Source organism: Homo sapiens, chromosome 19 (assembly GCF_000001405.40).
Source record: "Homo sapiens chromosome 19, GRCh38.p14 Primary Assembly".
Lineage (NCBI taxonomy): Eukaryota > Metazoa > Chordata > Mammalia > Primates > Hominidae > Homo > Homo sapiens.
The window spans coordinates 28622672-28649435 of record NC_000019.10 but is presented as its reverse complement, the minus strand read 5'-3'; the positions used below and the strand labels follow the sequence as shown (position 1 = coordinate 28649435).

The window sequence follows — 26764 nt, the reverse complement described above, 5'->3', positions numbered from 1 at the left end:
TGAGGCTTGTCCTGCCGGGAAGATTTTATGTATGACCAGTTCAGGATCCTGGAGGAAATGACTTATTTACTCCCAAAGTAAGAGTCACAGAAAACAGAAGTGACACTGAGAAATGAAAACAGTATACAAGAAACTCTATTGTGTCATTGTACTTGGGTTTAGTCTTTTGTTCTCAAGGTGAGAGTCAAGGAAAACAATTTTTGTCATTGTCGTTTTTGTTAAGAGTTCTGAAGAGCATAGCAGCTTTCTGGTCTTCGGGGATAGCAAGCTGGTGGAGTGTTCTTTCATTAACCTGTGATTATTGACTGACTGGATGGTTTCTCCCCTCTCATGACACTCTGGGGGCTTTGGCCAGTTAGTCAGTAGCAGGTACTATTGGTGCCTCATAGGTACTGAGTGAGCCTATTGCTTATTGCACCCAAAACAGACAGATTCTTAATAATTGGACCAACAGTGGCCCACCAGTGCTTGTGGTGTGGCTGGACATTACTAATGTTGGTATTTTCTGAGCAGGTTTGGATTTCTTTGAGTAAGTTGTTTATTTTAGAGAACTAAATGGATTTAGAACTCAGAACAACCAAAGCAGATCAGTGAAAGCATCTAGCATGCCCAATTAATAGTCTTCAGAATTGAATTATAGATAATAAAAGGAATTTATTTTCTACATGGAAATAGCTTTATTGCTTTTTCAATTTTTTCCTGATTAGAAAAGTAGTCTATGCTTATTGTTAAAAGAAAAATTCAGACAACATGCAAAGGAAAATTTTTAAATCATTTATAATATCACCATGTAAAGATAATCACTGTTAACTTTTTAATGTGTATGTCTCCGGACTTATTTCTTGGCACATATTACATATGTATATGTCTATATTTCTCAGAATGGCAGCTTTCCAGATACATTGTTTGTAATCTTCTTTCTACTTATTGACAAAGTGCAATGTCTGTGATATATGAACTACAGAACTTCCTCTTAAAACTTAAAATTTAATGGTTCTTCCTAGATATTCATCCATCTAAGACTTATTGAGCACCTACTGTGTGCCAGGCACTGCTCTGGGAACTGCAGCCACGTGAACAAAGCCATGTAAATAAAGCTGGGACAGAACACAGTTCAGCTTTGCCTTCTACTGACAGGTGGCAAGTCCTCAGGTGTGTAATATCATTTTCACTGGCCAACAGTTACATTTTTAATAGCACTTAGGAATTTAATATGCTTCTAAGTGAAGGGACTTTTTTGTGTGGATCTACCTAATTGTTTTTATCGGTTGTTTAGTATTCCAATATATAGATGAACTCTGATTTATTTATCTACTCTTTGATGAACATTAGGCAAATTTTCACTATTATAAAACATTTTAACAATACACATGCTAAAACAAACACTTTTACCCATGCATGACTGTACACTTAGCTGATTATTTTCTTAGAACCTGTGTGGGAAGAGGTATCCTGCTATACTGGTAGGAGTATGATTTTTTAGATGAGGTGAAATTCATATAACATACAATTACCATTTCAAAGTGTACAATTCAGTGTCGTTTAGGATATTCACTAAATGTTGTGCAAGCATCAATTGTCTCTAGTTTCAAAACTTTTTTATTAATTCCAGAAAAACACCCTGTACCCATTAAGTAACCACTCGTTATTTCTGCCTTCTCCACCTCCTGGTAACCACTAATCTGCTTTCTGTCTCTGGATTTGCCTGTTCTTGATAGAGCATCTAAACGGAATAATGCAGTATGTACCCTTTTGTCACTGGCTTCTTTCACTTAGCATAATGTTTTTGAGGTTCTTCCAGGTTGTAGCAACCCACGTTGATACCCCAGGAAAGTATCTATTAGTGCTTTATTTCTTTTTGTGGCTGAGTAATATTCTACTGTGTGTGTGTGTGTGTGTGTGTGTATGTATGTGTGTGTGTGTATATATACACACGTATATGTAATTCATATATAATAAAATTCTTTTAAAGTATGCATGTATATATACACACACACACACAAAAGTATTTTAATTTTCTAAAAAGAATTTTAGGCCAGGTATAGTGGCTCATGTCTGTAATACCAGCACTTTGTGAGGAGAAGGCAGGAGGATCACTTGAAGTCACAAGTTTAAGACCAGCCTGGGCAACATAGCAAGACCGTGTCTCCACAGAAAAAAAGTAAAAATAATTAGAAGGGCATGGTGGTATGCACCTGTAGTCCCAGCTACTGGGGAGGCTGAGACAGGAGGGTCACTTGAACCCAGGAGTTCAAGGCTGCAGTGGGCCGTGATTGCACCACTGCACTCCAGGCAGGGTGACAGAGTGAAACCCTGTCTCTAAAAAAAAACAAAAAATATGTTTTACTTTGGCGGTGGACCCTTATAGTTAAATGCTTAATGATGGCTTTTAGAAAATGGAATAGCTCTTGTAATGGTTAGTTCACTCTATTAGTTCACTATCATATGCTTCAGCATATAATAAATATAGAGTTAAATCTGAATTTAACACATGAACGCCTTCTGTATTAGTTTCCTAGAGTTGTCATGACAAAGTACCATAGACTGGGTGGCTTAAACCACAGAGGTTTATTTTCTCACAGTCGTGGAGGCTGGCAGTCTGAGATCAAGGTGTTGACAGGGTGGTTTCTCCCAAGGCCTCTCTTACTGGCTTGTAGATGTCGTCTTTTCCCTGTCCTTTACGTAGTCTTTCCCCTGTTCCTGTTTGCATCCTAATCTCTTCTTAGAAGGGCACCACTCGTATCAGATTAGGGCCCAACCACAGGACCTCATTTTACGTAGTTACCTCTTTATTAAAGGCCCTATCTCCAAACACAGTCACATTCTAAGGTACTGGGAGTTATAACTTCAACATAAGAATTTTGTGGGGGAGACAGTTCAGCCCATAATACCTGCCTAATGTACATAGCTATTGGAAGCCAGATAGAATTTATTAAAAGTTTGATACTACAAAATGTTTCAAAAGTAATATTTTTACCATTTTCAGGGCCATAATACTTAACCTCAAACCATCTACTTCAAGGTGTTGCTAAATTGGGCATGATTTATTAAATATATATCTTATTAATGATTACTGTATTGTTTATGATGATGAGATAAATTTGTCAAGTAGGTTAACCACCTCCTACCATATATGTTCTGCCCTTATTTTCTTTTTATTAAAATGTAGTTCATATATCATAAAATTCTTTTAAAGTGTTCAATCCAGTGGTTTTTAGTATATTCACAAAGGAGTGCAGTCATCAGCACTGTTTAATCCCAGAACATGTCGATCACCCCAAAAGAAACCTGTACTTCTAGCAGTCATTCTCATTCCACTCTCCTTCCTGCAGCCCTGACAGTTACTAAGCCAACTCCTGTATCCATGGATTTGCCTCTTCTAGACATTTCATATAAATGGAATCATACAATATGTTGTCTTTTATGTCCAGCTACTGTCTCAGCATTTTTTAAGGTTCCTTCATATTGTAGCATGTATCAGTGCATTATTCCTCTTTATATGTGAATATTCCATTGTGTGCATGTACCACATTTGGTTTATCCATTCACCTGTTGATGGATATTTGGTTTATTTCCACTTTTTGGCTATTATGAATAATGCTGCTATGAATATATATGTACAAGTTTTTCTCTGGCCATATGTTCTCAGTTCTCTTGGGTTTATACCCAGGCGTGGAATTGCTGGGATCATATGGGAATTCTCTGTTTAGCTTTTGGAAGAACTGCCAGAATGTTTCCCAAAGAGATTGCACCAGTTTACATTCCCACTGATTTCTTCCCATCTTTGCCAACACCTGGCAATTGTCCATATTTCTTACTGTAGCCATCCTAGTGTGCCTGCCTTTATTTTTAATTTGAATGGCAAAACCTTAAGCAGTTTGGTGTGGTGGCTCATGAATGTCATCCCAGCGCTTGACAGACTGAGGTGGGAGCATACCTTGAGGCCAGGAGTTTAAGTTGAGTCTGGGCAACATAGCAATACACTGTACAAAAATTAAAGAGCCAGGTGTGGTAGCTCATGCCAGTAATATCAATGCTTTGGGAGGCCGAGTTGGGGTAATCACTTTAGGCCGTGAGTTTGAGACCACCCTGAGCAACATAGAGAGAGCCCGCCCTCTACAAAAAATTAAAACATTAGCCTAGTATGGTGGTATGTGCCTATAGTCCCAGCTACTCAGGAGGCTGAAGCAGGAGGATTGCTTGAGCCCAGGAGTTCCAGGCTGCAGTGAGCTATGATTACACCACTGCACTCCAGCCTGGGTGACAGAGCAAGACCCTGTCTCAAAATTAAATAAATAAAAACTTAAAAAAAAAAAGTTGTTTACAGGCACTGTGGAGGTGAGCATGTGACTTCCGATTTGGAAGGCTGGCTGCTCTGTCTTCTGTCTTTCTCTGGAGGACCTATGCTATCCTTGTTTCCTCTTTTCCCACTATTCCTTTGTGAATTTTTGGTTTTCAGCAAACAGTTCAGCTCCTGCCCTTAGAGGCTGGTGAGAGTCATTTCAAGTTAACACTTCCTTCTTCTACATCTTCCTGGCACTGTCGCTCTGCCTTGTGCAGCCTTAAGTTAGGCATTAAATCAGGGTGTTTTGACTCTTTGTTGCGTTTTTCTCTGAGTCAGTAGGGAATATACCCTTTTCTACTTCACCCCTCTCCCAATTACATGGTTTACTATTGATTTTTTTCCCTCCTCCTTCTAGGCATAGATAGTACTTGCAACTCTCCTTTTAACAACAAATCAATTCCAGCATCTTAATGTTATAGAGTTGGGAGCACAGTTGAGTTTAAAACTTTTTTCACTCCCTCCACTGCCCCAGTTTCTCTGTTTAAAAAGCTCGAGTCATCCATGATTGATGGAGGACATTAGGGAGAGAAGTTAGCACCATTTTGATTTATTTTGTTTACTTTGAAAATAGTTTTCTCACTTGTCAAATGGATTAATTATGAGGAACAAATTGTGCAACTGGGTGCAGAGGAAGGTGAAGGAAAGCCAGAGTTCAGAGTCTTCTGGGTGAAGAGCCCCTGCCCTCGCCGACCCTTCATCGTGCCTGGTGCCCTGTGCTGTGGTGTGAGCTGCTGGTCATGGGGCCCTGCCTTGTGGAGAGTGCTTCCTGTCAGGAGGTGGTGGGACTGGGAAGGAAAACTGTGTAAGTTTACAGTAGTGCTTCAGTTGTAGTGGCCTCACCTCAGGTCCAGCATGTGCTGTTTTCTCATAGCTCAGTGTGCTGTTTCTATCTAGCATTTAATATGCTATCTAGCATTTAATTTCTATCTAGCATTTAATATGCTATCTAGCATCATATGCTATCATACGATGTTTGTTTTGTCTTGTTAATGATGTCTTCCCCTTTAGATGGCAAGCTCCAAGAAGACATGGACTGTTTGTTTCTTTCTTGGTCATGGCAGAATCCCCATTGTCTAGCTCTGTGCCTATGACTAGTAGATGCACAATAAATATTTGCTGAGTGAATAAAGGAATAAATGTCCCAAAGGTAAAATAAAATGCTCAACTGGGCCTCTAATGTAACGGGAGAGGAGGGGTGGTATGCAAGGTGGTCTCTGCAGAAGAGCAGGAGTAGCAGGAGTTACCTGGGTGAAGGTTGTTGGGAAGGGAATTATAGAAAGAATGGAAACACAGAGAATAATGAAGTCACAAGATGATGTTTTGATATTTAGGACATAAGAAGCTGGAGCTCCAGGGAGTTCTGGGTGCTTGGTGGGCCTTTCTGTTTTTTGTTGTTGTTGTTGTTGTTTAATTTAAGTCATTAGGATTTTGTGCAGGATAATAAACCAGGCTGTACCTTAACCTATGAGCTCATGAGACAAGAGAGGATTCTGGAATTTGGGTGCTAGAGTCTGCAACCCAAAAGCAGGGGACTGCTGGACAGCTGCGGAGGCTGGGCTCTAGATAGCCATTTGAGTGGCCAACTCTGCAGGTGAGTCTGGTGAGCCAGCCTGCAGAGGGCAGCTCCCCCTTAGCTCCCAGCTAAGCCCAGGTGTCAGAGCCCCTGCTCCTGTCTAACGTAGGTCCTGTCTAATGTAATCCCTTCACTGTGATTCCAGGGCTTGCTCTTACTCAGGCAGAAATGAGGCAAGGCTGCTTTAGGGCTGATGCAGCTCCGGGGTTGAATTCTTTGTCACTGTCCTGCAGCCCTCCTTGTCTCATCTGCCCTTTCTGGTGGGCTATGAATGTAGACAGCTGGCTTTGCTCTCCAGAGGAGGAGGCCCCCAAGGCCGACACTGGCTCCTTCTGGTGTTTGAGGGCTGCTGGCTGTCACCTCCTGTTGCCGTCTTCAACACTTGGCTTCACATTTGCCTGTCCTCTGTGCCTTTCTCAATTTGTCATTATTATTTTAGTGATAATGGATAGGCCACTGGGAGTGGAGCAGCAGGCACCAGCTTTTCTAGCTGATTAAATGCCTAAAGAACTAAAGGAGATGTGGGTGGCTTGCCTTCTGCTTCCTTGTAACTCATGACACGTCATCTTGCCTTTGGTTCCGTCTCTGCTCTTGTGGCTCTTGGTAGCCAAAATCCATCTTCTTGTATTACATGGACACTTGTTCTAATTCGGACACCTGCTTTAACATTTCCCTCGGCATAAACGTTTTCAAAACAGACAATCAAAAGTATATGATATCTTGAACTTGTGTTGGCTCATGGTGCTTGTTAACCCTTTCTGTCTCTAACAGAATAGGGTTTATAAGCACCCATGACTAGAATGAAGGTGAGATGTGGGCAAGAAAGAGGGAGGACACTCTACTTGAGATATGGCAAGTTTTTGGTGAGTGAAAGTTTATCTTCAATTTTGTTATCTCACATACTAGACAATAACACACATTTAAATTTGCCTAGTGGAAAATCACTGCTCTGGCCAGGATGGGGTTTATAGCCAACATCTCACATGGGCACAGGAGAGAGGCCTCCCTCCAGTAGTGTATTTCCACCTTACCCTATCAGGGGAGCTGATTTGTGGTGTGCTCTCTGATTTACTCCGAGGTGGGTTCCTTGTGTCCTCTGCTGCAGCGCGAGGCTGATTGTCCTGTAGCAGAAATGAGAAGCTCTGAAATCTCGCTTCTTTCCTTACGCACCTTCTGCTTTTTTGTAAAGCTGCTTCACTCATTCAAAATTTGGTCATGTTCCCCTAGTGCATCTGAATAATTGAAGTTTTATTGTAGTTGACATAACTCATAATTTTACAGCAATTTAGAAGGAAAAACATTCTGAGGTTGTGCCTTTCTTTTTATATGGCACGGTCCAGATGACAAAGCTAAGATTGCAGTAAATTTTAATTATGGCGTAGGACAGGTGCATGGTATCTGGGAAGGTTGAGGCATGGCCAGGCAGATTGCAACAGTCAGTATGGGCAAGGGGGACAGGTGCATGGTATCTGGGAAGGTCGAGGCATGGCCAGGCAGATTGTAACAGTCAGTATGGGCAAGGGGGACATTAAGGCATTTATTTCACAACAACAGGAATAAAAATGAGACTGTTTAGAAACATTGACATGCAGGCAAAACTGAGAACTTTCTAACGGGCATTTGATGCCTGAGGATGAAAGAAAAGTCCTCATGGAAAAGAGTGAAACTTCTTCTAAAAGAATCTGAGCTAAAATATTTCAGCAAAGGGCCCCCCACATACTTCAGGCAGGGGAACTCTTGTTTTACACAGACACAGCTGTGTACGGTGCCACCATTGATGGAGGGAATGCTGAAAGCAATGGAATGATGTAGTTCTTGGTGCTCATGTTGGCAGTGGGACGAGATGGCCTGAATAACAGGGGCGGCCTAGGAAGAACAGAGGCAGCAGGAAAAATCTGGATCTGGATACAGGAATGATATGGCAATCTGGCTCCCCCTGAGGTCTGGGCCTGGAAGTTAGGCTGGTGTGACTTCAGAGCCGTCTGCACTGCAGAGGCAGACAGAGATGCAGAGGATGGGACCACATAAGCTGGCCTGCTGCATTCAGGGGCCCAGGACCCCACGATGACATGGCAGATGCAAGCACAGCAGATGCGCTGGGCTGCTGAAGCTGGTGCCAGCTGGCGCATCAGCGATGCTGAAGGCCCAGACGTGCAATGTAGACAGTTGAAGGTTCATCTTTTGGGAGTAGGCCCTGGAGATAGAAATGGAAAAACTGTAGGCTGTCCTCTCAGAGAGCTCAGAGCTGGGGAGAAGGATATACACACAATACAAGATCAGAGCTTAAATAAAGATCCATTTGCTGATAGTAATGGGCTACATAGAGATTTAAGATTTAACCCACCAGGACAGAGCCTGGTCCCTATCTGAGTTCTCGGACTAGCTAGATGTCTGTGCTGATGCTGAGCTCAACAAGCTCAGAAGCATCCTTCTTGGATCCCACAATGCACCCATTTGGGTAACCTTGTCTTTAAGAACTGAGTCATCTCCTCCGTGGTTGCCCTTGTTTTCTAAAATGGGCAGAAGCTTAATTTGGTGAGGTTTTTCATTTTCAGGTTTTATTTATTATTTTAAGGCTGAAGAGTTCAAATCTTTCGTTCATCCTTGAAGACATGTCACAAACAGGCTAGTGACTCCAAACCTTCGGGTGTGATGGAACCTCTTTAAGATACTGCCTGACTCACAGAATTGTGTGTATATTTGCACTTTGCAGGGAACCTGAAAAACTCTACTGGAAGCTATGGAGTAAATGTGGGCTGGGGAGGGAGAGCCTCAAGGGATCAGTGAGACAAGGCAGGGGAGAGGGAAGCATACAGAAAACATGAAGGTGAGTCATGAGGTTTGTGAAGCTTGTTTTTCTGCTCAGAAATACACTCAAGACAAACATGAGAAAGGCTAGTCTTGGAAGCCGAAGCAATTTTCCTTCTTTCTCAGGCCCAATCCCAGCGTTCACATGGGCAGGGGAACAAGGGGTGGATCAGGGAGGGAGGAACCTCCATGCCACGGACAGGCAATGTGAAAGCAGGCCCAGCAGCCTCGGTGATGCCCCTCCCTCCCTCACGGCCTGTGGACAGTCCTTGTCTGATGGTCAGGGGACTCTCAGTAAATGCACTGAGGGTGGGTGCTTGGAAACATTGAGCGGGGAAGGGACTGACTAACCGGGAGCTGAGCAGAATGGCTGGTTCTCCCATGAGTCCTGGCAGGGTGGGCACTGCATGGTCAAGTGTGCCTGCACTCTGGGAGGGCCTGTGTTCCTTCTCAATGACTTCACAGCAATCCACAGACTCAAGTTAATACCCAGGTAGCCCCCGACCCTAAGAACAGGGCAGCAAGCTTAGACAAGATCACCCATGGGTGCCAGACAAGCCAGTTACTGCCCACTTTGGGGTAGGAGGTATACTTAAAAGACAGGGTTACTCTGGGCAACTATTTTGTTCTCTTTTAAACATTAACTTTAAAAAATTACTCAAGTCATATATGTGATGTTTGTAAAATAAGAAAATGTTGCTGAGAAAATAAAAATCTTCCACAATGTCACTCCTCTGAATATTTTGAGATTTAACTGTCTGGATTTCTTCGAGCTTATGAATGTACAGGTAAAAATCAATGACAATGCGATCATACTGGTCCATACCATTTCACTCAACAGCACATTCTAGATTTCTTGTAAATCATGTCACCTTCTCATGGGCTCGTGCCCCATGCCCCAGTAGATGAATGCGTCATTATCCCCTGTGGCTGGACAGTTAGGTTGTTGCCAGCCTTTCAGCTTTGCAAATGGCACTATAATGAACCTCACTGCAGATAAATTCCATTTCCAGAGATTAAGGAAATAATTAAAGACAAGTGCAAAAAAAAAAAAAGATACACTTTTAAGTCTTTGAATACATCTCACCAGATTACCTGAAAAAGTTTTTGACAGTCCCTCCACCCCAGCAGATGTCTGTGAGTGAGAGTGCGACTGAGGACTTCAGAGGAAGATGCCTAGGGATCTTGCCATCTAGGACATATGTTCGTATGTTTTGTAAGAGATTACAGTCTTCCTGTCCTCTGTCTGGCACAAATGGAAACAAAAACACAACAATAGCAATAAAACCAACTTAAAATTGGATGTTTAATTAAAACAAGTTCTTTTTTTGTTGGGGATGAAGATCTGCTTTATCCAGTGTTAACATCTTTACTAGAAGAAGAGAGGTTTTAATTAGATTTTGACAGTGGTGTCAGTTTAGCCTCTTTGATCTTGAAAACGCTGTTTTTAGAGGAGGATGGGGTAGAGGTGGCCAGGCCCAGCAAGGGAGAGCAGGCTCTCCCATGTATGCCTTCAAGGGCTTCCTTAAAGAGCCTGCCCTGATTAAACAAAGTGAACCAGCACCGCCCCAGTCACTCTAGATTAGACTTCTGTTTAATTGTCTCATTAGTGCTTCCCAGTCAGCAGAATTTGGCTCATGTATTGAAAAGATAAATTCAGATTAAATAGAGGCTCTAGTGCCTTCATCTAGAACCTTGCCTGATGCAGAGTAATCAACCAATAAATTGTTGAAAGAATGAATGAAAACCCATTCATTCAGATATATTTTTGGTCTTTGTTGACTTTCTTTGCTATGGTTGATGCAGGGATGGAGTAGGCCCCTTTTCCAAAATAGGTGTGAAAGCAGTCTGACCTAGAAATTTCCAAGATCATGGAAAATCGTCTTTCTTTTAAAACATTTATGTCTGGGCTCTGCCCTCTGGGTACAAAATTCTTGAGGTGTTCTTGTATCCGGTCTTTCCTCAACCTCAGCACCTCAGAAGTCCTGTGCATCTTGGGCCGCAACGTGAAGAAGTGACTCTGCAAGTTGGGCTTTGGACCTATCTGCAGGGCAGCAGCACTCAGGAGAATGACCACACAGTGCTGTTGTGATAAGACCATCTCTGAAGAGGAAAACCTTCAAGTGCTGACAATTTTGAGCTGCAAGGGTATACTTAGAATGTTGATGAAGTGTTTTGTGCTGTGAATGCTGTCATGCCCCATAGTCATGAACAGAGACCTTCACAGGTGTGAGGAGAGACCTGACAAAAGGCCCTGCTTGTTTTCACCAGGTCCTCAGACACTCCGAGGAACCGGATTAATCTTGTCGGGGTCAAACTTCAAGGGCAGAGGGCTAATTGCTTTCTCTTACCTGGTGGGATCAGATGATAAAACCAAATTGGAGTGGAGATGGATGGAAGAGGTGGGAATGGCTCAACATCATGATGGAGAGTAGCATGTTGGTCACATGGAGGCAAATAGATTTTTAATAAGGAAAAATAATTACCAGTGAGTGAAGTGTCTGACTTTCCTGAAGATTTAAGCCACCTTGAGACCAGAATGAGAAACAGCTGGCAAACATTTTAATCAAGGCAAGGAAGCTGTTCTGCCCTCCAAAGAAGAAACTCTTTCATCAAAACCCTGTTGCCTTGTTTATTAAGGGAAGTAAGAAATGATTTGGCCACTGGGAGTAACTGCAGCAGCTTCAGAGAAGCCCACCCATGTGTGAAAAGACTGGTGCACCTGAGAAGCAAGGCAGAAGCCTGGGAACATTTTAGAACCAGATGCCACCCAAACTGCACGATGCGGTGATGATAAAGACTGCAGGGGCCTGGGGCAGGTCAGTAGGCTGGGGGCAGTAGGGGTCTGTGCCCCAAGAGGCAGGGACCGGAGGCTCTTTGGTGGAGGGCCAACCCCAGGCAGAGCCTGTCATGGCTGCAGACTTCCCATGAACCTGGATGCAGGACTAGCAAGTGGGCATCATAGGTGACTGATTAAGGGCTTTGTCCAGATGGCCACCAAGGATCCATTTCTGGGTCTTTCTCTGGCTCAAGAAACCTTTTCACTACAGAACTGCACTGGTAACTGCCCTTCTTAGGCACACAGTACGTGAATGCAAGTGTCTTGTTAAGGCAGGGGAAATTATCGTGATTTATTTTCTCATTTGTTTTCTCTTTTTCAATTCTGGCATTGTAACAGGGAACACAGCTCAATCAAGGTTCGGCAGCTGAGAAAATCAGAGAAGGTGGGGTGTGGCCTGGAGGAATTTCCTGCAGAGGGGTAAATGGCAGGCCAACCCCATCTGGGTCTTTCCCATGCCCAAGAAACTCTTTCAGCAAAGCCTGCTCATTTCCTTCGGGATCTTCCCTGCCCTGATAATCTCTCCATCCGTCCCTCCTTTCTAAAACCAGTATTTTCGTTCATTCTTTCATTCAAGATATATTTTCCTGTTTGGGAATTTTCATCCATGCGTTGTCCATCTTCCCACCCATCCCACAAACATTAGAGCAGAGCCGTTTTTGTGGGGGTCTCTGTACCCAGAATTGGAATCACACCTTGAATAAAACATGGAATTTGTTTCTTCCCTTAAGGAGCTCAACGTTATTTGGTTGAATACGTTCTCATTTAAAACCTCTACCATTCCCAGAAAACTTATTAAAGATATGATTAAAGAGATAATCACATAACCTTACTTAGTTATTGAATAAGCTTTTTTCCTGGTCCTGAACACATGAGTGACGAAGGCTTCTTGAAGACGGTTCACTTGGCTGTGAACAGTGCTGCAATGCTCAGGAACAAGGCTCAGTGCTCAAGGGTGGGAGCTGTCACCACATAGGTAACACCTACTCTTTTTGTTCCTTGATAGCTTGGCTCAGGAAGGATGATGGTCTGCGAAATTGACATTAGAATGTCTGCAGAAAATCCCCGGATGAGGGAAAAATCAACATGATCCAATGCTGAACTAGTTTAGGCCTGTGCTATTGCTGGCGAATGGATGCCACTACTGAGCACAACCCTGTCTCCAGAAACATCTAGTTATGACCCCTCTCAATCTCTATCTACAAGATGAAGGCTTTTGACCTGGTCTATGTCCACTCCATGCTGATGACTTATACAAGTGGCTGTGGCTCAAGACAAGCCAACCACAGGGGACAGACAGCAGGTGCACAAGCTTGTAAGAGTAGAAATGAAAAAGAACCCCTTAACTCAATTTGGAGAAGTGAATACTTGAACCCTGAGCGTCTTTGCAGTGACGCCAGCTCAAATCAGGGCAGGCACTTTCTGTGGGAGGCTAACCCTTGTTTGCCATCTTGCTTTCCACTTGCATATGGAAGTAACATGCACTGGGGTAGAGGGCGTGGAGACAAGGGACTTGCTACATTTGTTCTGACGGCAATGTGATATAATCACCCATCTCATCTGAGACTGAGTCATATTTTATATGAAAGACAAGTTCTTTCTCTTTATAAAATGCAATTATACATAAATAGTTCATGTCATCTGCTCTTGAAATTTTAGCAGCAGGACTTAATGCTGCTGGTTACCATGGTAACAGGCAAAGTTGGTGATATTGAATATTACTGTATTAAGTTCCTCTGCGTGTGTGTGTGTGTGTATGTGTGTCTGTGTGTGTGTTTTAATGGCTGTGTTGCATATAGGGGATAGTTTTTTCCAGACTACAGTGTCAGAAAAGTCAGAACATGAGACTGTCACCGATGTGTCAAGTGAATACATTGGAAAAGTCGAGCCCAGCACAGATGCCTTTCATTTCTTGCTCATATCCTTTATTTCTTGCACCCATCCCTCCCTGCCAATTTTATTAAGGTATAATTGACAAATAAAATTATATATCTTTACAGTGTACAATGTGATGTTTTGATACAGTATACATTGTGAAAATATTAAATCAAGCTAGCACATTTTTTGCAGTGAGAACATTTAAGATCTATTCTCTTAGCAGTTTCCAAGTATACATTATTATTGTACATTCGGTGCAATAGATCTGCAGAACTTACTCATGCTGTCTACCAAACTTTGTTTACTTTGAGCAACATCTCATTTTGCTCCCCCATCCCCAGTACCTGGCAAACACCATTCTTTGCTTTTGTGAGTTTGAAATTTTATTTCATTTAAAAAAATTTTAATTTTTGACACTGGTGGTATATGTGCTTGTTTGTTACAAGGGTATTGCCTGCATAATGATAGAAATTGGGCTTCTAGTGTTTCCATCACCCAAATATTGAACACCGTATCCAACAGGTAATATTTTAGTCCTCACTCCCCTTCCACCCTCCTTCCTTTTAAGAGTTTCTAGTGTCTGTTTGCATGATATTTGCATGATCTCATTTTCTACCCTTTTACTTTGAGTCTGAATGTGTCTTTAGCCAGTAGGTGGGTCTTTTTTAGACAGCAGATGGTTGCATCTTATTTTTTTTATAACCCAATTTGCCACTCTGTATCTTTTAAGTGTACAATTTAGGTCATTTACATTGAAAGTTAATGTTGATATGTGAGGTTTTGCTCCTGTCATTGTGTTATTAACTAGTTGTTTTGGAGTTTCAATTGTGTAATTGCTTTATAGGATCTGTGAGCTTTGTACTTTGGTATCTTTTTCTGATGGTGAGTATAGTACTTTCATTTCCATATTTAGAACGCCTTTGAGCATGTATTGTAGGATCTGTCTAGTGGTGACAAATTCTCTTAGTGTTTGCTTGTCTGGGGAAGACTTTATTTCTTCTTCATTTATGAAGCTTAGTATGGCAGAATGTAAAATTCTTGGTTTGCATTTATTTAAAGAGGCTAAAAATAGGCCTCCAATCTATTCTTGCTTCTAGGGTTTCTGCTGAGAAGTCCAGTGTTTGATCAATTTTCCTTTCTAGGTGATTTGAGTTTTTGCTGTAGCTGCCTTTAATATTTTTTATTTCTTCAGCATTCACTTAGCATAGTCTGAAGACCATATGCCTTGGTGATGTTCATCTTGTATAGAATCCCACAGATGTTCTCTGAATTTTTTGTATCTGGATGTTCAACTCTCCAGCAAAATTAAGAAAATTTTCTTGAGTTATTTTCAAATATGTTTTCCAGTGGCTTACTTTTTCTCTTTCAGGAATGCTAATAAGTCATAGGTTTTATTGCTTTAGATAATTCATATTTCTCACCAGAGAAATATGGTTTCTCTGGCTTTGGTTTTCAAAATTATTTTTACTTTTGACAAATTAGTTTCAATGATCAGTCTTCAAGCTCTGAAATTCTTTCTTCTGCTGGTGTAATCCATTGTTAAAGCTTTCAACTATATTTTCAAATGTCTTAAGTAGGCTTTTTATTTCAAGAAGTCCTTTTGCATTTTTTAAAATATATTTATCTTTCCCATCATTTCCTGGATTGTTTTTATAGTTTCTTGTGTTGGTTTTCAACCTTGTCTTCAATCTCATTTAATTTCCTTGCAATTTATACTTTGAACTCTTTGTCAGTTCTCAGTTTCCATTTTGGTTAGGGTATATTTCTAGAGAGCTAATATGATCCTTTAGTCATGTCACAACATTCAGATTTTTTCATGATGCCAGAATTCTTATGCTGATTCTTTCTCATCTGGAGCAGCTGCTCACAGAAAACCACTCTTATTTTTGAATTTATTTTTGTTCAGATGGGATTTTTTTTTTCTTATTTGTTTTTTCTTTCTCCATCCCTCCCTTTCCCTAGGGAGTGACTGTGGAGTACGTTGTGTTGCTAAAGCTTTGCTTCTATAGCCCACGCACTTCCATTGGCCAGGCTTTATATTTGGCTGTGCAGTTCAACCTGCAGGCCAGTAGATGGCGCTGACGGGTAAGAGCCAGCTTGTGGCACAGCAGATGGGTAGGTACTTGGTCTTTGTTTACTGGGAGGTGCTCTCTGTTGCTTCTGGTGATGGGCTGGACAGTGAAGTGCCTGGTGCCCTGAGTTTTCTGTTCAGCAGGGAGTGGGTAGAGCTGGGCAGAGCTGGACCCCCTGGCTTGCCCACAAATACTCCAATGCCAAGTATAGGCACCAAGCCTTGTGGAGATGGCTTTGGGAGCTCCCAGTGACATGTGCTGAGGTCTCTACATCGGGTGAAGGGGCTGCACTAGCTCCATGCGCTAGATAGGCAGGAAAGTGATCTATTCCCAATCACACCAGTCCTGGAACTCGTGACTCTCAGTTCAGATCCTCACTGTTGTCTACATCCAAGCCACAGTGGGTTGAGAGCTGTGGAACACACCTGTCTTGAGACTCTCCACAGGAGTGGTTTTGGGGCAGAACCTTTTCAGCGTATGGCTCTCTTTCCTTTGATGTGGTAATGATGTTGCATTGTCAGGGCCAGGGGATACACTCTGCCTTTCAGCCCCTGTGGATGGGTATCAGTTGTGGTGGTGTCAACTGGTTGGGCTGGCCTGACCTCAGGCCCTGGGAAAAGTGGTTAGGTGCCAGCACTGTTGGATTGGTCTACATAGCGCCCCAGTTCTCAGGCCCTTAGACGGCCTACCGGACAGAGAGTATGGGTCCTTAAAACCCATTTATGCCTAGTGTTCCATTACTGGAATACTAAGCATGTGGGACTTATTTATATCCCACTGCTCAAGATCATCGCCAAGGTCTGATTGGAAAAATTTAAAAAATTGCAACCTCAGGCATAAATGGGTTAAGGGGCTGGACTGGGGTTGGGGCACCCTAGACTTCAGGAGCTGGCTGTGATGGGGAAGGGGCTGGCTGGTCCCTGAGAGGCTGATAGAACCCTCAGGCAGGGGACAGACAGAAGGCCCAGGTGGTGGGAGCCTGAGGGCAGCACAGGCCTGTGGGGACTGGGCTCTCAGAAGAGCTGTGGTTGCAGCGGAAATGCTCAGGCAGGAGCCAGGTGGCCTTTCACTGGGGGAAGGGAGGGCCCCTCAGGGCACTGGAGATTGGCACCTGGGGGGCACATGACCTACTCACACTTTGCTCCTGCAGAAGCAGTTCTGGATTTTGTTCTTGGGGTCATGCAGAGGTCCCAGGCCTCCTCACTCTCTCCCTGGCCTGGGAGTCGGGGTCTCAGAGAAACACCTAGCCAAGGCCAGTGTTTCTGCAGGGGTGGGTCAACTGTACAGGGGGCCTGCAACAGGTAAGCCCCATTTCGCAGGAAGCAGCCGAGGCCGGGAGTAGTGTGGTGTGTGGTCTGGCAGCTCCTCTGCACAGCAGCTGTGCTGTCTCTCCTGGGGGTGTGCAAAGAGCCTCGCCTCCCTCCTTGGCATGGCAGCTGGCACCAGGCTGACTGTGGGATTCCAGGTGGGCTTGAGCGGTGCCTCTGCAAAGTTTCTGGGTGGCTCTGTGTTCAGCTGGAGGCCTAAGGAGGATTATGGGGGCTCTCCTGTGGCTAGGATTGTAAAAGTCTGTGATGGAGAGGTGGGTCCCGGAGCCTCTCACCTCATTCACCCCTTCCTTGGAGTAAGAGCCTCTCTTCACTCCACACCGTCCCAGCTCCGCAGGCTGCCTGGCTCCACTGTTCCCTGCTTTCCTTGGGTCCCATTGGTTCTCTGGTGAATCCGAGCATGCTCTCTTAAGATGATCTATGTGAAGTGTGAGGATTTACTTGCCATTGTGGTTCCTGTCTGTGAGAGAGGCATGGGCTTGCTGCTTCTAGTCAGCCATTTTGAACTAAAACCTCAACAACTTTTTTGATTCCTCATTTGAGTGAAATCGCATGGTAGTTGTCTTTCTGTGCCTGGCTTATCTCACTTAACGTAACTTCCTCTAGGTTCATCCATGTTCTCACAAGTGACAGAATTATCCTTTTTTAAAAGCTGAATAGTATTCCATTATACATAAATGTATGTGTGTGTGTGTATATATATGTGTGTGTATATATATATGTGTGTGTGTGTGTGTGTGTGTATATATATATATATATCTCAATCTCACATGTGCTCTATCCACTCATCCACTGATGGACACTTAGATTGATGCCATATCATGATTATTGTGAATACTGCTGCAAAGAACATGAGAGTGCACATGTTTTATTGACATACCAATTTCATTTCCTTTTGATATATACTGTTGAAGTCAAATAAACTATAGAGATGAATCTCTGACATGAACATGTTTTGTTTAGGAAAAATTGCAATTGGGAAGATATACACAGACTGGGTGGTCTTTGGTGTATCCAAAGAACAAAGAGAAGGTCGGAAGTTTTATAACAAGGAGAAATGTTATGTATTTGTTTTTCAAGAAAGTTCGTGGCACTTGTAAAGTTCTGGGGAGCAAGAAAGCTCTGATTGGTGAGTGGTGGTGATGGTAAAACTAGTCCTAGATTTGCAGCAGGTTGTGTCAGTAGCTATTAGATAAAACTGGCTTCAGGTTACTACAGGCAATTTCACAGCCAGGCTTGCAAATAATTATATTCTTGGAGCGGTGTTATGTACCCTGAGTGTTTTCCCCCTCTGGCTTCTCAACTCTGTTTTCATTCAGTAGAATGACCCAATTTTTATAATCAACTTTCACAATACTTGGAAGTGAGACAACTGGATCCTATGGTAGTTCTATTCTTATTTTTTTTAGGAATGTCACTACTGTTTTACAAAGTGGCTGTATTAATTTACATTTCTGCCAACAAAGTACAGGGATTCCTTTTTCTCGGCATTCTCGCCAATACTAATTTTTTGTCTTTTTGATAATAGCGATTCTAACAAGTGTGAGGTAGTGTCTCACTGTGGTTTTAATTTTCATTTTCCCGATGACTAGTGATGTTGAACATTTTTTCATATACCTGTTGGCCATTTTTATGTCTATTGGGTCCTTTGCCGATTTTTGTTTGTTTTATGTTGAGACATATATCCATGTGTTTACATATGTGAGACAGGGTCTTGTTCTGTCAACCAGGCTGCACTGCAGTGGCACAATCCTGGCTCACTGCAGTCTTGACCTCCCAGGCTCAAGTGATCCTTCCACCTCAGCTTCCTGAGAAGCTGGGACCACAGTCGTGCTCCACCACACCCAGCTAATATTTTTTTCTTTCTTTTTTTGAAAAGACAGTTTCTCATCATTTTGCTCAGTCTGGTGTCAGACTCCTGGGCTCAACAGATCCTGCTGTTTTGCCCTCCTAAAGTGCTGGGATTACAGATGTGAGCCACTGCAGCTGGTCCCTTTGCCTGTTTTTTAATAAAGTTATTTGGTTGTTTTTTGTTTGTTTTTTGCTATTGAGTTGAGTTCTTCATATATTTTGGAAATTAACCCTTTATCAAATATTCGGCTTGCAAATATTTTCTCCTATTCTGTAGGTTGTCTCTTCTGTTAACTGTTTCCTTTGCTGTGAAGAAGCTTTTTAGCTTGATATAATCCTATTTGTCTATTTTTGTTTCTGCTGCCTGTGCTTTTGGTGTCATATCCAAAATATCATTACCCACACCAATGTCAAGAAGCTTTTCTCCTATGTTCTAGTCATTTTGCATTTCCAGGTCTTATATTTGAGTAATTTATTTTGAGTTTATTATTGTATATGGTATAATCCAATTTTATTCTTTTCCATATTGATATACAGTTTTACCAATACCATTTATTGAAGAAGAGACTATGTTTTCCCCATTGTGTATTCTTAATACCTTTGTTGAAGATTGGCTGTAAACATATGGATATATTTCTGGACTGTCTATTCTGTTCCATTGTTCTATGTTTCTGTTTTTCTGCCAGTACCATGTTGTTTTAATTACCGTAGCTTTCTAATATATTTTTGAGATCAGGTAGTGTGATGCCTTCAACTTTGTTTTTTGTTTTGTTTCATTTCTAACTTCTAAACAATATGGAAGCTTCCAGCTTTTTTCTTCTCACTCATGATTGCTTTGGCTATTTGGTGTTATTTTGTGGCTTCATACCAATTGTAAGATTATTTTTACTTTTTCTGTGAAGAATGACATTGGAATTTTGATAGGAATTGCATTCAAACTGTAGATTACTTTTGATTATGTGGCCATTTTAACAATATTGATTCTTCCAATTCATAAATATATTTTTTCATTTACTTATATCATCTTCAATTTTTTGTCAGTGTTTTCACCTCCTTGGTTAAATTTATTATTTTATTTTTGATGCTATTGTAAATTGAATTGTTTATTTCTGTTTTTAGGTACTTTCTTGTTAGTATATATAGTTGCTACTGATTTTTGTATGTAGATTTTGTATCTTGCAACTTCACTGAATTTGTTAGTTTTAACAGTTTTTTGGTGGCATGTTTAGGGTTTTCTATATACAAGATCATATCATCAGCAAACATAAACAATTTCTTTCTTCTCTCCTCTTTGGATGCCATTTATTTCTTTTTCTTACCTAATTGCTCTTAGTAGTATTTCCAGTATTAGATTGAATGGAAGTGATACAAATGGGCACCCTGTCTTGTTCCTGATCTTAGATGAAAAGCTTTCCACTTTTCACAGTTGAGTGTCATGTTAGCTGTGGGTTTGTCGTATATGGTTGTTACTTGTTGAGAGTTTTTATCATGAAATGATGTTGAATTTTGTCAGTTTTTTTTCTAGCATCTGTTGTGATAATCATATGTTTTTTTTTTTTTTTTTTTTTTTTTTTTTTTTTCAGACGGAGTCTCGCTCTGTCGCCCAGGCTGGAGTGCAGTGGCGGGATCTCGGCTCACTGCAAGCTCCGCCTCCCGGGTTCACGCCATTCTCCTGCCTCAGCCTCCCAAGTAGCTGGGACTACAGGCGCCCGCCACTACGCCCGGCTAATTTTTTGTATTTTTAGTAGAGACGGGGTTTCACCATTTTAGCCGGGATGGTCTCGATCTCCTGACCTCGTGATCCGCCCGCCTCGGCCTCCCAAAGTGCTGGGATTACAGGCGTGAGCCACCGCGCCCGGCCGATAATCATATGTTTTATATCCTCTATTCTGCTAATGTGGGTTCCCATTTATTGATTTGTGTATGTTGAATGTTGAATCATCCTTTCATTCAAAGAATAAATCCTGCTCAATCATAATGTATGATCCTTTTAATGTACTGGTAAATTCAGTTTGCTGGTATTTTGTGGAAGATTTTTACACCTATGTTCATTAGGGATATTGATTAGTAGTCTTCTTATAATGTCTGGCTTTAATATCAGGGTAATGCTGGCCTAATAAAGTGAATTTGGAAGTGCTTCCTCCTATTCAGTTTTTCAGATAAAAATTTGATAAGGACTGGTGTTAATTCTTCCTTAAATGTTTGGTAGAGTGCACCAGTAAAACCGTCAGTTACTGGGCTTGTCTTTATTGGGAGATTTTTGATTACTGATTAATTTCCTTACTCATTATTGGTCTGTTTGGATTTTCTGTTTTTTCATGATTCAGTCTTGGTAGGTTGTATGTTTTTAGGAATTTATCTGTTTCTCTAGGCTATCCAATTTGTTGACATATAATTGTTCATAGTATCTCTAGAAATCTTTTATATTTCTGTCATATCAGTTGTAATGTTTCCTCTTTCATTTATAATTTTATTAATTTTAAGGATTTTTTTATCTGAAAGTTTTCTTTTTTTACTTAGTCTATCTAATGGTTTCTCAATTCTGCTTATCTCTTAAAAACACACACACACACGTCTTAATTTCCTTAATGTTTTCTATTATTTTCCTAGTCTTTATTTTCATTTATTTGTTTCTGTTTTGATTTTTAATTCCTTCTTTCTGCTGACCTGGGCCTTAGTTTGCTCTTTTTTTTCTAATTCCTTAAAGTGTAAAGTTAGGTTGCTTATTTGAGATGTTTTCTCTTTATGTAGGTGTTGGTCACTATAAATTGTCCTCTTAGAACTGTTTTAGCTGCATGCCATATAGTTTTGATATGCTATTTTTTCATTTTCATTCATCTCAAGATTTTTTTTGTTTTCCCTTTTGACATCTTCTTTGACCTGTTGATTGTTTAGATGTGTGTTGTTTAATTCCTACATATTTGTGAATTTTCCAACTGTCCCCCTGTTCTTGAGTTCCAGTTTTATACCATTTTGTTGGAAAAGAAAATCGATATGATTTCAGTCTTTTCTAATATGTTAAAACTTGTTTTGTAGCCTAACATATGATTTGTCCTGGATGTTTTTTCATGTGCACTTAAAAAGAATTTCTATTTTTCTGCTGTTGGGTGGAGTGTTCTGTATATGTCTGTTAGGCCCATTAGCCCCCCAAGTCCACTGTTCCCTTATTTATTTTCTGTCTGGATTATCTATAAATTGTTGAAAGTGGGAGTACTGGCTTGGTGCAGTGGCTCACGCCTGTAATCCCAGCACTTTGGGAGGCCGAGGCAGATGGATTACTTGAGGCCAGGAGTTCGAGACCAGCCTGGCCAACATAGAGAAACCCTGTCTCTACTAAAAATACAAAAATTAGCTGGGCCTTGTGGTGCATGCCTGTAATCCCAGCTCCTTGGGAGGCTGAAGCATGAGAATCCTTTGAACCTGGAACACAGAGGTTGCAGTAAGCTGAAATGATACCACTGCACTCCCACCTTGAGAGAGCAAGACTCTCTCAAAAAAAAAAAAAAAAAGGAAGAAAGAAAGAAAATGGGAATCCTCTACTATTACTGTATTGTTGTCTATTTCTCCCTCTATAACCATTAATATTTGGTTTATTTAATAGGTGCTCCAATGTGCACCCAATATGCATATATATTTGCAATTCATATATCCTCTTGATGAATTAACCACTTTATCATTATATAATGACCTTCTCTGTCTCTTGTGACATTTTCTTTTACTTAAAGTCTATTTTGTCTGATATAAAAATAGCCACCCTGGCTCTTTTTTGTTTATCATTTTCTTTTTTTTTTTAATTATACTTTAAGTTCTAGGGTACATGTGCACAATGTGCAGGTTTGTTACATAGGTATACATGTGCCATGTTGGTTTGCTGCACACATTAAATCATTATTTACATTAGGTATTTCTCCTAATGCTATTCCTCCCCTACTCTTCTACCCTAGGACAGGCCCTAGTGTGTGATGTTCCCCGCTCTGTGTCCAAGTGTTCTCATTGTTCAGTTCCCACCTATGAGTGAGAACATGCAGTGTTTGGTTTTCTGTCCTTGTGATAGTTTGCTCAGAATGATGGTTTCCAGATTCATCTATGTCCCTGCAAAGGACATGAACTCATCCTTTTTTATGGCTACATAGTATTCCATGGTGTATATGTGCCATATTTTCTTAATCCAGTCTATCATTGGTGGACATTTGGGTTGGTTTCCAGTCTTTGCTATTGTGCATAGTGCCACAATAAACATATGTGTGCATGTGTCTTTATATTAGCATGATTTATAATCCTTTGGGTATATACCCGGTAATGGGATGGCTGGGTCAAATGGTATTTCTAGTTCTAGATCCTTGAGGAATCGTCACACTGTCTTCCACAATGGTTGAACTAGTTTATACTCCCACCAACAGTGTAAAAGCGTTCCTATTTCTCCAATTCCTCTCCAGCATCTGTTGTTTCCTGACTTTTTAATGATCACCATTCTAACTGGTGTGAGATGGTATCTCATTGTGGGTTTGATCTGCATTTCTCTGATGACTAGTGATGATGAGCATTTTTTCATGTGTCTGTTGGCTGCATAAATGTCTTCTTTTGAGAAGTGTCTGTTCATATCCTTTGCCCACTTTTTGATGCAGTTTTTTTTTCTTGTAAATTTGTTTAACTTCTTTGTAGATTCTGGATATTAGCCCTTTGTCAGATGGATAGATTGCAAAAATTTTCTCCCATTCTGTATGTTCCTGTTCACTCTGATGGTAGTTTCTTTTGCTGTACAGAAGCTCTTTAGTTTAATTAGGTCCCATTTGTCTATTTTGGCTTTTGTTGCCATTGCTTTTGGTGTTTTAGTCATGAAGTCCTTGCACCAAGCGGATCTAATAGACATCTACAGATCTCTCCACCCAAAATCAACACAGTATACGTTCTTCTGAGCACCACATCACACTTATTCCAAAATTGACCACATAGTTGGAAGTAAAGCACTCCTCAGCAAATGTAAAAGAACAGAAATCACAACAAACTGTCTCTCATACCACAGTGCAATCAAATTAGAACTCAGGATTAAGAAACTCACTCAAAACCGCACAACTACATGGAAACTGAACAACCTGCTCCTGAATGATTACTGGCTAAATAACTAAATGAAGGCAGAAATAAAGATGTTCTTTGAAACTAATGAGAACAAAGACACAACGTAGCAGAATCTCAGGGACACATTTAAAGCAGTGCGTAGAGGGAAATTTATAGCACTAAATGCCCACAAGAGAAAGCAGGAAAGATTTAAAGTCGACACTTTAAATCTTTGAATGAATCAATGAATCCAGGAGCTGGTTTTTTGAAAAGATCAGCAAAGTTGATAGACCGCTAGTGAGACTAATAAAGAAGAAAAGAGAGAAGAATCAAATAGATGCAATAAAAAATGGTAAAGAGGATATCACCACCGATCCCACAGAAATACAAACTACCATCAGAGGATACTATAAACACCTCTATGCAAATAAATTAGAAAATCCAGAAGAAATGAATAAATTCCTGGACACCTACACCTTCCCAAGACTAAACCAGGAAGAAGTTGAATCTCTGAATAGACCAATAACAGGCTCTGAAATTGAGGCAATACTCAATAGCCTACCAACCAAGAAAAGTCCAGGACCAGATAGATTCACAGCCAAATTTTACCAGAGGTACAGAGAGGAGCTGGTACCATTCCTTCTGAAACTATTCCAATCAATAGAAAAAGAGGGAATCCTCCCTAACTCATTTTATGAGGCCAGCATCATCCTGATACGAAAGCCTGGCAGAGACACAACAAAAAAAGAGAATTTTAGACCAATATCCCTGATGAACATCCATGTGAAAATCCTCAATAAAATATTGACAAACCGAATCTAGAAGCACATCAAAAAGCTTATCCACACGATTAAGTCAGCTTTATCATTGGGATGCAAGGCTGGTTCAACATATGCAAATCAATAAATGTAATCCATCACAGAAGCAGAACCAATGACAAAAACCACATGATTATCTCAGTAGACACAGAAAAGGCCTTTGACAAAATTCAACAGCCTTCATGCTAAAAACTCAATAAACTAGGTATTGATGGAACGTATCTCAAAATAGTAAGAGCTATTTATGACAGACCCATAGCCAATATCATACTGAATGGGCAAAAACTGGAAGCATTCCCTTTGAAAACCGGCACAAGACAAGGATGCCCTCTCGCACCACTCCTGTTCAACATAGTGTTGGAAGTTCTGGCCAGGGCAATCAGGCAAGAGAAAGAAATAAAGGGTATTCAGTTAGGAAGTGAGGAAGGCAAATTGTCTCTGTTTGCAGATGACATGATTGTATATTTAGAAAACCCCATTGTCTCAGCCCCAAATCTCCTTAAGCTGATAAGCAACTTCAGCAAAGTCTCAGGATACAAAATCAATGTGCAGGAATCACAAGCATTCCTATACACCAATAACAGACAAACAGAGAGCCAGATCATGAGTGAACTCCCATTCACAGTTGCTACAAAGAGAATAAAATACCTAGGAATCCAACTTACAAGGGATGTGAAGGACCTCTTCAAGGAGAACTGCAAACCACTGCTCAACGAAATAAAGGAGGACACAAACAAATGGAAGAACATTTTATGCTCATGGGTAGGAAGAATCAGTGTCGTGAAAATGGCCATACTGCCCAAGGTAATTTATAGATTCAATGCCATCCCCATCAGGCTACCAATGACTTTCTTCACAGAATTGGAAAAAACTACTTTAAAGTTCAGATGGAACCAAAAAAGAGCCCTCATTGCCAAGACAGTCCTAAGCAAAAAGAACAAAGCTGGAGGCACCACGCTACCTGACTTCAAACTATACTATAGTAACCAAAGCAGCATGGTACTGGTACCAAAACAGAGATATAAACCAATGGAACAGAACAGAGCCCTCAGAAATAACACCACACATCTACAACCATCTGATCTTTGACAAACCTCACAAAAACAAGAATGGGGAAAGGATTCCCTATTTAATAAATGATGCTGGGAAAACTGGCTAGCCATATGTAGAAAGCTGAAACTGGATCCCTTCCTTACACCTTATACAAAAATTAATTCAAGATGGATTAAAGACTTAAATGTCAGACCTAAAAACCATAAAAACCCTAGAAGAAAACCTAGGCAATACCATTGAGGCCATAGGCATGGGCAAGGACTTCATGACTATCATTTTCATCAAATATATTTTTCTATCCCTTTCAGGCATGGACTGAAAGCCTAAGTCAGGTCTTTGAGTCCTTAAAGCTAAACTGTCTCTTTTAAGCAGAATTTATCTGAATCTTGTTTTTCAATTCATTCAGCCACTCTGTATTTTTATATCAGAGAACTTAATCCATTTACATATAAACTAATTTTTGATGGGTAAGATTTTAATATTGCCATTTTTTTTTTTTTTTTTTTTTTTTTTTTTTACTATTTTGTACTTCCTTTGTTCCATTCTTTCTCTCTCGCTGTCTTCCTATGTGATATGACTTTTTGTAGGGGCAATCCCTTCTCTTTATCTTTTGTGTATCTATGTCAGATTTTTGTGTGTGTGTGTGTGTGTGTGTGTGTGTGTGTGTTTACCACAAGGCTTACCTAAATCATATTATAGTTAAGACATTATGTTTTAAGCTGATAACAATTTAACTTTCATTTCATACAAAAGCTTTGTACTTTTAACTTCTCTTCCCCCAATATTTTATATTAATGTCACAATTTACACCTTTATATGTCACATACCCATTGACAAATTATTGTAGCTATAGTTATTTTAATACTTTTGTGTTTAAATTTTTACACTAGAGTTAAAAATTATGTATCCACCACCATTGCAGTGTTAGAGTATTCTGAATTTGACTACATTTTTACCTTTACAGTGAGTTTTATACTTTCATCTATTTTCATGTTGTTAGTTTTGTGCTTCTTCCCCTGTTTCCCATTCTAAAAAATCTGTTTCCAGTCTCCATGTCCATGCTACAAAATTCTTTTCATCTTATTCCAGATCCCCTTCTCTTTCTGTTTTTGCTCTTTGCATGCCATCAGCATTCTCTTTGCCT

General features: G+C 40.8%; 1 pseudogene across 1 annotated transcript in view, besides 1 other annotated feature; it reads left to right on the top strand.

Moving 5' to 3' along the window:
* LOC100420587 (SHC binding and spindle associated 1 pseudogene) overlaps positions 1 to 26764 on the top strand; it is a 292307-nt pseudogene that overhangs the window by 78259 nt on the left and 187284 nt on the right. The window lies entirely within an intron of this gene.
* Positions 15460 to 15754: a silencer, noted in NCBI's record as "tiled region #736; K562 Repressive DNase unmatched - State 5:Enh". NCBI's record gives its function as "represses a minimal TATA promoter and a strong SV40 promoter by Sharpr-MPRA in K562 cells {active_cell/tissue: K562}" and the evidence as "EXISTENCE:reporter gene assay evidence [ECO:0000049][PMID:27701403]".